At 35.2% G+C, this 12,889-nt stretch overlaps 1 protein-coding gene across 2 annotated transcripts in view; it reads right to left on the bottom strand.

Moving 5' to 3' along the window:
* CFAP47 (cilia and flagella associated protein 47) overlaps window positions 1-12,889 on the bottom strand; it is a 465,584-nt gene that overhangs the window by 222,838 nt on the left and 229,857 nt on the right. For both annotated transcript variants that reach the window (NM_001304548.2, XM_017029452.2), the window contains exons 38-39: window positions 2,904-3,054; window positions 1,711-1,799 (exon numbers count right to left, since the gene is read on the bottom strand). In NM_001304548.2, coding sequence (NP_001291477.1) covers window positions 1,711-1,799; window positions 2,904-3,054 — 240 coding nt within the window. The remainder of the gene's footprint in view (window positions 1-1,710; window positions 1,800-2,903; window positions 3,055-12,889) is intronic.

Raw genomic sequence — 12,889 nt, 5'->3', positions numbered from 1 at the left:
TTAAAAACTGGGTCTCTTGTTATATTGGTTATAACTTAAAAATAGTTTCTATATTAATTAATTGGTCAAATTCCTTCTTATTCAATCTATTTTATTATGTTAAAATTTCAAACATAATATATGACTCTTACACAATATTGGTTTTGCACATTTTGAAATTGGTTTTATATTTTTGAGTTTATTTGTCCATTGCCTAAGTTTGAGGGACATATTCAAAGGAAGGATATAGTTAAAATCACTTGATTAACAATTTTGCTTCCTATCAAACCACAAACCCCTTATAAGCATTAACCATTTTAATTAAATCTGAGATACAACATAAAGACATGTTAAAATATTACTGTTATTTGAGAAATATGTATCTGTAATATTCTCCCAATTTCTGGCATATCCAGATTTTCTTTCTGCTTTAACACTAGAATGTAAGACTAAATTTGTTTGATCCTGTTTTTCTCTGAGGAACTGCAGTCAGTCATTTGGTCTACTTAAGGGCATACTTTAATACTGTGTTAACACACCATATATTCTAAAATTTTGTGTTTCTTATACTCCAATGTATCACTTTAATAAAATTGCACTAAATCATATTCTCTCTTACATGCACCTAGGAACCAGGTATTTACCAATCACTGTTTCAAAACAATATTTTTTAAAACAAAATGACCAAAATTATTAGAGAAAGATAAGAAATTACCAAAATCCTTTACATACAGTGATTAAAAGAACTGGAAATTATCAAATAGTAAAATAATAAGCATATTATAACTTCCAGTTTCAATATAAGTATCATAAGAATCTGATAGCTGAAGCTGGAAAAAACAGAGTTCCTAGTTTAATCAGCACAGAAGGTATCACCTTCCGTCGTCTTCCTCAACGTGGTGTACATTTCCAGGAAGTTACTTTTCTATTGTGTCATTAAATAATACTTGAAAATTTTATTGTCTTTTTATCACAAATATGTATTTTTGTTATTATTATTAAATCTTAAGATGAACACATGCACATTGATTGTGCAGTATAAATTAGTTATGATGCTCTAAGTAAAAATGTTTTTTTCTGCTTAAATTGATATTTCAATTTTGGACATGTACAGAATAAAATTAGAAGTAAAAAATCTATTAATTATACATATTTTTTAATAATTGAAAGAACACTGAATTTCAACAAACAACTTGCAGACAAAACTCATAAATTTAGTATGATCATTTCAGGAAAACTGATTTACTTTAATTAGCTGTTTAATTTTTTCTGATGGTGCTTAGAAGTTTATAGGAATTTGAACACATATAATTTCTGCTCGAAATGGTTCATGTTGAAGAGATGAAGAAAATTACGGCCAGGCGCGGTGGTTCATGCCTGTAATCCCAGAACTTTGGGAGACCAAGGCGGGTGGCTCACGAGGTCAAGAGATCGAGATCATCCTGGCCAACATGGTGAAACCCCATCTCTACTAAAAATACAAAAATTAGCTGGGTGTGGTGGGGCACCCCTGTAGTCCCAGCTACTTGGGAGGCTGAGGCAGGAGAATCGCTTGACCTGGAAGGTGGAGGCTGCAGTGAGCCAAGATGGTGCTACTGTACTCCAGCCTGACCACAGAGCGAGACTGTCTCAAAAAAAAAAAAAAAAAAAGAAAGAAAGAAAATCACATATGTCTCTTCAGAGTGGAGATAGAGCTAATTGCAATGAATTTACACCAAAACAATAACTTACCTGAAGTCCCCAGCCGTATGGAAGGGGTTTTTCACATTTACAGTGACTTCCTGAAATTGATAACATGGGCTTTCGCATTTTATAATGTCCTAAAGTAAAAAAATAAAGTCTTACCACATGATAATAACAAAAAATGAACTTTCTGAATTATAAAATATAATCTTAAAAATCTATAAACCGTCCATTTAATATTACACTGACAGTACTTCCCACTATCAAAAGAAATTCCATGGAGAAAAACTTTCTAGGTATTCTATAATTTCAGAAAGATTATTTTACTGTTTTATTTTATTTTGTTTTTATTATCTAATCTGCTTTCCAGTGACTTAAGACCATATAGGGGAAGATGGGGAAGTAAACAGTTGCATGTCTACCCCCAGAACCACCAATGACAGGCTAAGCCCAGCCATATCTCTTAGCCACATGTGACAAAACAATGTCTTGTTTCAGATAATTTGTGTGAGAGGGTTGGGAAAAGTACATGTTCATTATTCAGGAGGAAATAAGATTACACATAGGAAGTGACAAATGCCCACTTCCTGTTCTGAGCATCATTGTCTCAAAAGACAGTCTGTCCATATGAGCATCTCAGTGCCTTCCTCAACAACAGGCCATCACTCAACCATCCTACAGTCATTTTCTCTGCTTACCACTCTTGCCCTGCACACCTAAATTTCTTTATAATCCATTTGGAAATCTGGCAATCTAATGAATTTACTTATTCTGTACCATACATCCATTGTAGAAATTAATATTTAGAAGAGATAATGGCTACAAAAAGTCAATCACAATAATGTCACAACCATTTTATAAAGATTTAAAAATCTCTCTTCCCCACCCTTTGAAAAAGAAATACTTAGAACTCTGTCTGGAACATCGTCACCTCTCAATAAATGCCAGCATTAGTCTTATCTTTATAATAGATTTGATCTACAGGACACACAAGATAAACTGATGAAAGTTCCTGCCAGAGAACAGGAAAGTCCTTTTTTACTGCATAAACTATCAACCCTTAGTCCAGCAAAAACACAGACACAGGCCCAGAACTGCTTTAACTTAAATCACAAGTATCCATGGCACAGGGATGACTCAAGAAACAGCTGCCTAGAGATAAAATGTATAACAATAACATGCTTTTGATACTTCATGGTCTGATAAGAGAAGCAAAGACATCGTAGGTAAAATTTACTTACAATGGCTTTAAAATCGAGGACTTTGCCTTTAAGAGCAAAAGTCATTGTAATTCCTCTTACTGCATTCTTGGGTTTTGAAATTAATAGTAGTGAAGCTTCAGCAGGACGAATAAAGCGACTGGTGAATTTCAGAGTGACATTAATTTCATTTCTATTTAGTAAAAGATAAAAGAGAAAACGTTTTAACAAAAAAGACAACTTACAAGCATTTGTTTAATGTAGACCATGTGTCTAATGCCTACATCCCCCTGCAAGGTACTCACTTCAGCTGCAGTTATCAAGAAGCCTACAATCTAGTTATTGTCATCGGTTAAGCTATCGTAATATATTTTGTAAAATCTGAAGTTAACTTTCAAATATATAATCTCTCAAATAAAGGATTTTCTAACAGCAAGCCACAGGAAACCATGTATGAATTGTTTTGAGGGAAATTCATAGGACATTCTGTGCTACTGTTTAGGCAAATACTTTGTCATGTCACTGGTCTCTGGTAACATGTGGAAACATTAAGAAAGTAAAAATTCAAAAAATGCATAAAATCATTAGTGAAAATAACATTCAAAACTCATAACCAAATAATGGCAGATAATAATAACATTTAATTAATTACAAAAAGGAATAAGGAAAATATTTTCATCCTCCTTAATCTTCAATTTGGCAGTCTAAGACATAGTATAATGGTGAAGAGGCTATGGATTTGGAGATTCCATTCACCAGTCTGTAGGAAAATGACCGCACCATGGTACCCCAGCAACCTTGCATGAGTCCACATAGGCCACATATGCACTGTAAAAATGCAGCTGACAAAAGTCTTGGCAGAAACCCCATGATCCTCCTGCAATATAAGAGCATGGAGGCTCACGAATTGCTGCTCTAGGAACATTTCTCACTTGCCTCCCTAATCTCCCCTGAGAGACTGTCACCAGACAGTTTATCATTGCTTCCTGGATTGTGATGAGGTATGAGGCTTGCTTCCTTACTCCTTTTAGGATAGAGTTACAGGCCATGAAGCTTAATGACAGCACAAATTTAGCTCCTCAGCAAGAGGGTGTCTTACCATCCATGAGGCAGTGATCTGACCCCTTTTATTTTGATATTGCCCTGTACAAGGGACATGTGAATCTAGTACCTTTGATTACTCATGCTTTCACTGTTTAAATAAGTTATACACTCTAAATTAAACAATGGACTCTCGATTTTGTTACTGGATCAATCTTTCAATCTTGCCTTGCCTTGATACCGCTGTAGGTGATAAAACTTGGGGAAATTTTATCTTTGCTTTTCCTCTGGTTTTTAGCATGGTTACCATTATACATCCCATAACAGTTATTCTTTTGTACCAACTACTACCTATTGTCTTCGCTTAGAATGCACATATTTAAGAATGGAGATGGGAATAGATTCCCTTGGTGTCAAACCTTGACCTAATTGCGCCAGAACTTTTGTGCAGTTGCTGTTGAATGGGTGAGACTAGGAAGAAACGAGGAGTGAGATAAATGAGGGGTTTTCAAAAGCAATAGAAATGTTCTCAAAATAGTTTTGTAGGGAAAATTACAGCTCACAACTTACAGGAGTGGGGGTGATTTTAATTTAGATATGTGTCCTCAACAATTTCAATTGTGTGCAAAAGGACTCTTATGAAAACTCATGGGCATGAATTTAACTGAGAACAAAGAACATTTGACCTTGAGGTCTTTTTCCAGGTATATAGGCTCAAATTATTTATTAAGATAACAGTGAGTGATTTAGACTATTTCCAGTTATTCTAAAGTACATCACTATATAAGATCATTTATCCATTAATTCTTTCATGCAATTGATATTTTTAGATAATTTATAGTGTTCCAGGCACTCTTTTAGGTTTCTGAGATACAGTAATTAGAAAAAAAAAACACCACTATTCCTGCTCTCCTGGATAGTACAAACGGTAGGACATGGCCAACATTCTACCAACACAAAATAAATGTGAAAATTACAAATTATATATGTGCTGTGAGAGCATACAATGGGGAGTGTGACATAGTCTGAAAGGTCAGAGAAAGTGATATATTAGGTGGAATGTGAAGTATCAGAATGAGTTAACTAGATTGAACAGGGGATGAAAGAAGGCATCCAAGGCCTCTGGTATGGGGAATTAAAATGTGTTTGAATAACTAATCAAAGGCCAGTAATGCTAAATCTTAGCAAGCAATAGGGGTAATGATGCAAAATATAGCCAAGAGCAAGCTGCGAAATCATAGTGACTGTCACAAAAGTGAAAGTGTACTTTGGACCATGTTAAGCATATTCAATCTATATCCAAATGTTGATGGGAAGCTGAAATATTTTAAGCACCTTTTTAAATTTCTGTTAAAGGTTTAAATTTCTGTTAAAAATTAGCTGTCATTCTAATATAGAGGATAGATTTCAGACAAGATTTTTAGGAGTCTATTGTGGCAGTCTAGTATAAAGATGATGTTACATTAAATCGGGGTGGAACAGGTGAAGAAGGGAAAAAGAAACAAGGTTTATGACACGATTGGTAAAATCGATAGGATCTGGTAACGGATTGGATCTCGATGGAAGCTGATGAAAAGAGAAGCATTCAAGAATGACCACCATCTAAAGAACATGAATTTAATGAAAGATTTTATGAACCTATACTTAAGTCTTATGGAATACATTTCAAAATAGAGTATCCTTTTTATGAGATAAATAGCTGGTTCCATGAACAGCCTTCTCTTAAGTATAGGTAATTATTTTTTAAATTTTGTAGTTATATTGAAGCATGTAAATGACCAGCATTCTTTTCTGAATTTGTTAGAAACTTCAGAATCAAATGTGTAGTCTACTTAGAGTAAGTTTCCTAAGTCTCCAGGCATTTCTATCATAACTATAGGTTTCATTTTAATTATTTTACCTTTTATTTTTTTTGCTCCAATTGCCTTTCCCTGATTTTTTTTTAAAAAAAACCTCCTTGATATTATATATACATTGTAAGCTACTTCAATTTAGCCTTTGGAATAGATGGAGAATAAATATACAACACATCAATGTCAGTGCACATATGGCTCAATGAAAATAATGAGAAAAAAAGAATGGTTTGCTAAATTTATACTTTCACTTTTATGACAGTCACTCTATGGTTATAGCTAAATGTAGTCATAAAGTTAGATGCAGAAGTAAATATGTTTGTTTATATGCTGGTGTAGCTGTTTAACATTTTCTATATAAGTAATATGTCTGAGAATTTAAATCCATAGCTGGCAGAAAGAGACATTATTAACTGTGATCTAGACAGTATCTAACAAAGAATGTGGCACACATAAATATATAATTATATAATATCTTATAATGATAAAATTACTCATTTTTTTGTTTAGGAAAACAAAATGTTTTCTGAGTCGTATTTGTAAAAACCAAATCCTATGAAATTATTTAGCCTAACTAAAGAGAGCCACCTAAAATAACAGCTACCTAAAATAATTTTATTTCAAGCCTACAAAATAAAATGCATTTAGATAAGTGAGTAGTTGTTTTTTATATGTGTTCAGAATTAAGCATTACTTCTTCTGGGAACCCTTCCTTGGTTTCCTCAAGAGTAGGCAGGCACTTCTTTTTCAGTTTTCATCTAGTTCTATACACACATAATAAATAAAATAATTATTGATTTATATCTTCGGTATGTATTTGCTTGCCTGGCATTGGGATAGATTGTAAGCATTTGCGAGTAGTGTTGATATATTTTAATTTGTGAGTCACCAGTACTCCAAATTGAGGCGGTCATCCTTATTAATTGCTTCCTATAAGTTCCATTATGGTACAAGGTGTTTTGCCTACATAATCATATTTATTACTGACAGCACTGTGGGTACATAGCCTTATCCACATTTTTCAAATAAGGAAACTGAGGCTGGATCATAGAGCCTTTACATGTCAAGACTGAAACATAACATTTAATTGTTAAATGATATAAGAGGAGTTCTAAACCACAATGGCATCTGAAACCCAGATTCATCATTTCTTTTCCTAAGAAAAATCTCATGAAAATTATAATAAAGAGATTTTCAAAACACAGCTGGTTAGAGGAAACCACCACCACATAAAGGGCAAGATGGGGTTCAGACAACCCTACTCCCTTCAATGCCATTATAAAATGTCAGACAATTGGGCATAAAAGCAGAATGGTTTTTCACCCTAATGTGAAGCCTACCAATTGACATACCTGTGCACATACAGTACAGAAATTTACTTTTCTATTGCCATGTTATTACATATGAATGAATAACCATGTGTCAGGAGGCATTTGAGCGAATCTTTTAACAGGGAACACTAAGATCAAGGTAAATAAAGCAACTGACTTTAGAGAAAATTCAAGGATAGATGAGAACATAAAAGTCAGAGACAATTATGAAGATATGGTACCTCAATTTAAGAACAGGATGTCATGAGATAGAAATAGTCAGAGAACAAGTGCTCTTAGCAATTTATATATATATAAATTCATACATATATGAACCAGAACTCAGACCCTTGCCAGACACTGAATCTGCAAGCACCTGGATCCCTTGGACTTCCCAGACTCTAGAACTGTGAGAAATAAATTTCTGTTGTCTGTAAGCTACCTATTTTATGGTTTATTGTTATAGCAGCCTGAATGGACTAAGATGGCAAATTAGTATTGAGAAGTGGGTGGGGGTGCTGCTGTAACAAATACCTAAAATGTCAAAGTGGCTTTGGAACTGGGTAATAGGTAGGGGCTGGAAGAATTGAGGTGCATGCTGAAAAAAAAAAAAGCCAACATTACTATATAAAGGCCATAAAGGGTGATTATGGTGCAGGCTCAAAATAACACAGCTGTAGAGAAAGCTTGAACATTCTTAGAAATTACCTAAAAGGGTGATTCTGGTAAAGCCTCAAAAGAATAAAGCTGTAGAGAAAGCTTGAACATTCTTAGAAATTACCTAAAAGGGTGATTCTGGAAAAGGCTCAAAAGAATAAAGCTGTAGAGAAAGCTTGAACATTCTCAGAAATTACCTAAAAGGGTGATTCTGGTGAAGGCTCAAAAGAATAAAGCTGTAGAGAAAGGTTTAACATTCTTAGAAATTACCTAAAAGTTCGTGAAAAGAATACTGGTAGAAGTATGGACAGTAAAGGCCATCCTGATGAGGTCTCAGACAGAAATAAGGAGCAAGTTACTAGACAACAGAGGAAGAAAACCCGTGTTAAAAAGTGACAAAGAACTTGGCTAAATGGTGTTTGTGTCCTGGTGTTTCCTGGAAGGTAGAACTTGTGAGTGATTAAATAGAATGTCTGACTAAAGAATTTTCCAAGAAAGTGTTAAAGGTGTGGATTGGCTTCTATTGAATGCATATAGTAAAATGGAAGAAGAAAGAAATGATTTAAAAACAGAATTTTTAACCAAAAGGGAAGCAGAACTTAAAAGTTTGGAAAATTCTTAGCTTATCCATATTGAAAAGAATGAGAGAACAAACATGTTTAGGGGAGAACAAGGGTGTGGGCAAGGAACTGTTTGATAAGGAGATTAATATGGATCAGGAATCTCCATGAAAACCAGATGATATTCATTAAAACTATGGAGAATTACCCCAAAACATTTCAGAGATCATCCTTGCTGCCTCTCCCATCATAGGCCCAGAATGCCAGGGCCTGAGAGACAGAATAATTTTAAGGAGAAGGGAGTATGAACAGCTGTGAGACCCTGGTGTTTGCTGCCCACCAATGCCTCAAGGCTCTACTGTCCACATTCCAGTATCATGCTCCTTGGCTGCCCCAGGTGCTGCTTCAGCAGACCCAGGTGTGGCTTGGAATGTGGTAGCTGCCCCTCTGATGGGCACAGACAATAAATTTGGGAGGCATCCATGTAGTACCATTTCCACTGGTGCAGAAAGCACAGAAAGTGCATGCCTTCACCTATATTTCAAAGGGTACCCTGGAGAGTCTTGGGGTTCAGTTAGAGAATTGCCATGGGGAAGGGCCACTGCAGAGTTCCCACTAAAGCAATGCCCAGTAGAGCTCTGGAGGCAGGCCTCCCTGAAGACCTCACACCAGTAGAGACATTGGAGCAAGATTCCAGCTCAGGGTAACCACAACCACAAGACCCAGGCATAGAATGACCACAGCGGTGAGGCTACTGCAGAGAACTGACATGTTCTCAGACACAGAGCTGTGGCAGGCACTGGGCTGCCTCAAAGCCATCGGGGGCAGGACCACCAGTGGGCCTGGAGAACAGAGTTTCAAGTCAAAGAAGATTATTCTGGTGCCTTAAGATTTAATGTTATTTGTCCTGTTTAGTTTTGGACACACTTAGGACCTGTTATCACTTTCTTCTTTCCTATTTCCCCCATTTGGAATAGGGTAGAAGTGTCTACCCTACGCCTATTCCATCATTGTATTTTGGAAGAATATAACTTATTTGATTTCACAGAATCACAGCTGGAAAGTAATTTGCCTTAGGAAGAATCATACCTTGAATCTCACCCATATCAGACTTATACTTTTATTTTTCTAGGCAAACCCTAAATACAAGACTTATATGATAGGTGAGAATTAAGACTTCAGACTTTTGAGTTGACGTTGAAGTGAGCTAAGATTTTGGGGGGCTATTGGGATGGAATGAATATATTCTTCAGGCAAGAAGACATAAATTCTGGGGCTACAGGGTAGAAAGCTAAGGTCTAAATGTTTGTGTCCCCCCCACCAAGTTCACATGTTTAAACCTAATTACAAGAGGAGTGACATCATCAGAACAGCAGAGTAGGAGATACTAATCTTCATTCTCTCCACATAAAAACAATAATTAAACAGCTATCTATGAAAGAAAATAGCTTAGAGAGGGCTCAAGGTTCCAATTAAGACCCTGAAGTAACACAATGGAGCAATAACCTGACGAAAACCACACAGAAAGATCATTAGAGAGACAGGCATACTTGAGCTGTCTAGAGGTGGCTAGGAACAAGGAAGGGCAGGGCTTATCATTATCAGCCACACAGTGGGTGCTACTTAGGTCCCCAGTAAACTGCTCTACAGAGTATGCCAGCAGCTTTCACTCCTGTCATAACCAATAGGCATTCCTGTTGTGAATCCCTTGGAAAGGGAAATGCTGCTGGGTCCTGTACCCCATCAAGGAAGGAGCCACTGTTGGGTCAGGTGGTGGAGAAAATGAGGAGATACTAATCAAAGGGTACGAACATGAAGATATAACTTGAGTAAGTTCTGGATACCTAGTTTATATCAAAGTGACTATAATGTCATTTACACTTGACAGGTGTAAAGAAAGTATATTTTAAGTATTCTCATAAGACATATACAAAAGGCAACCTTTTGAGGTAATGAATATGTCAATACCTTGATTGCTGTAATCATTTGACAATGTATATGTATACCAAAACATCATACTCTATACCTTGAATATATATAATTTTTATTTACCAATTTACCTCAATAAAGCTAAAAAAAAAGAGAGAAGAAAACCTAATCACCATTGTGATGGTATTAGGAGTTGGGGACTTTGGGGAGTGATTAGATCATGAGAGCAGAGCTCTCATTAATAGGATTATTACACTTAGAAAAGAAGCCCCATAGAGTTGCCTTGATCCTACCACCACGTGAAGACACAGAAAGAAAGTACCATCTATGAACTAGAAAGCAAGCCTTCACAAGACACTAAATCAATCTGTGGGTGCTTTGATCTTGAGCTTCTCAGCCTCCAGAACTGTGAAAAATACATTTCTGTTGTTTGTAAGCTGCCTAGTTTTTGGTGTTTTGTTATAGCAGCCCAAACAGACTAAGACACAATTATATCATGGATCTTCAGGATTGCTTAGAAATAGTCAAAGTAACATTATATTGAATGCAAAGGGCTTTGTTGAATGTGACACAGACACACAGACAGACACACACACACATACACATGCACAAGATATGTGCAAGTGTCAGTTTAATAAAAGTGCCAGCTCTGAATTTGTATTCACTGGTCTTGAATCTCTACTTTGGCATTTAATAGCAGGGAACATTGGGTAATTTAATGTCTCCGTGTCCAATATCTTCTTCTATAATATGAGAACACTAATAGGGTATTAGGAAGATTAAATATGAAGTGCATACTATATAGATATTGACATATGAAACAAAGTTCATATGATATAGATATTTTTATATAGCAAATGTTGAATAAATATTAAGTATGTTAATATTTACATATAATGCCTGTATTATGTAAATACATAAGTATGCATATGTTATAATAAACCTATGTGTGCCTATGAAAAGACTGGAAAGAAACGAACTAACAAACTGTGTTTGATGTAATTCTAGGTGATTTTTGTTATCCTGTTTATTTTTCTATAACTCAAATTTTCTACCGTGCACATTTATAATAAAAATAACAAATATGAACTTCCTTAACAGGAAAAGTAATCTTAAACTAAATTATCAGAGGTTTATTGTGGTTATTAGGAAGAATTTCCACATAAAGCTTTGAAATACTGGAATAGGCTATCAGGTTTATGAGTGGAAAAAATGCAGGAGAAACTTCATCCTTTTCACTTGTATCACCCTATTGGAAGAGTGGAGTATAGATCTCAAGTTTTAAAATCTTTGACAACAAAATAAATGGTTATGTGACAATGTCCAAATGAACTTGTGTTATTATCATTATGTTTTTTAATAGACATATTAGAAATTTAACTATTTTATTATGATCTTGGAAAATGGGTAGGTTCTTTTTATTATACAAGGAATTTTATTCTAATATTTTATTTATAATAAAGAAGCAGGCAAGTATAGATTTTTTCCTCAGGTTTACTTTAGGTTGAATTAAGATCTTTTATATGCCCCTTTAGCATGGAGTAATAACTGAAGAAAGCTAACATAGGCTAATGACACGAAACAAGGGCACTGTTGAAAATGGGTTACAGGATATTTTAGGTACAATTTAAAATGGCCCTTTTTTATTATTATTTCTGTGTTTGATATACTAGTACAGAAATAAAGACTACAGCTTGAAAAGTTACTCAATTTAATGTATAGTTAAAATCCAAAGAGATAATCAAGCAAAGTAACTTTAGTAGTTATCTATCACATTTCATTGGAGAAAAATAATTGAATGCAAAGGCAATGACTAAAATTCAAGACTAGTTAAAGTTCATTAGTAGTTATCAAATTTGTCAACTGCTATGGTACTGACACAGCTGTTCTCATATCATCTTTGTATTATTTAATAAACAAGAGTATTTATGTCATTAGCATGTGTTGGCATATCCAACATGATTTGTTGATCTGGGAAGACTCACATTATGCTCAGATTTAATTTCCCAAAACTATTCTCTGGAGGTTTCAATTATACTTTATTTTTGTGAGTGGGATAGTAGTAGAAACATTAAATAACTATGAGAACACAATTAGATAAAAATGACACATATAACATTATCAAAATTTGGGAGTATATTTACATGTATATATATCATCTATCTGTCTATCCATCATTTACACACACATACACAATGACTATGAGGGCACAGAGAAAAATGGCAACATGGGGAGTTCTTTGAGGTAGGATTATGAACCTTTTATTTTCTGGTTCTTCATACTTTCATAGTCTCTAAATTTCCTATAATTAGTACATGCTGCCTTTATAATCAGCAAAAACTATATATAAAATATATATAGGCCGGGCACAGTGGCTCATGCCTGTAATCCCAGCACTTTGGGAGGCTGAGGTGAGTGAATCACATGAGGTCAGGAGTTCGAGACCAGCCTGGCCAACGTGGTGAAACCCTGCCTCTACTAAAAATACAAAAATTAGCCAGGCGTGGTGGCAGGCGCCCGTAATCCCAGCTACTTGGGAGGCTGAGGCAGGAGAATTGCTTGAACCCAGGAGGCAGAGGTTGCAGTTAGCCAAGATCGTGCCACTGCACTCCAGCCTGGGCGACAGAGGGAAACCCAGTCTCAAAAAAAAATAAAATAAATAAATAAATAAATAAATA

This window comes from Homo sapiens, chromosome X, assembly GCF_000001405.40.
Source record: "Homo sapiens chromosome X, GRCh38.p14 Primary Assembly".
NCBI classification, from domain to species: domain Eukaryota; kingdom Metazoa; phylum Chordata; class Mammalia; order Primates; family Hominidae; genus Homo; species Homo sapiens.
Note: the sequence above shows the minus strand (reverse complement) of the source record. Positions and strands in the feature narration are given on the sequence as shown.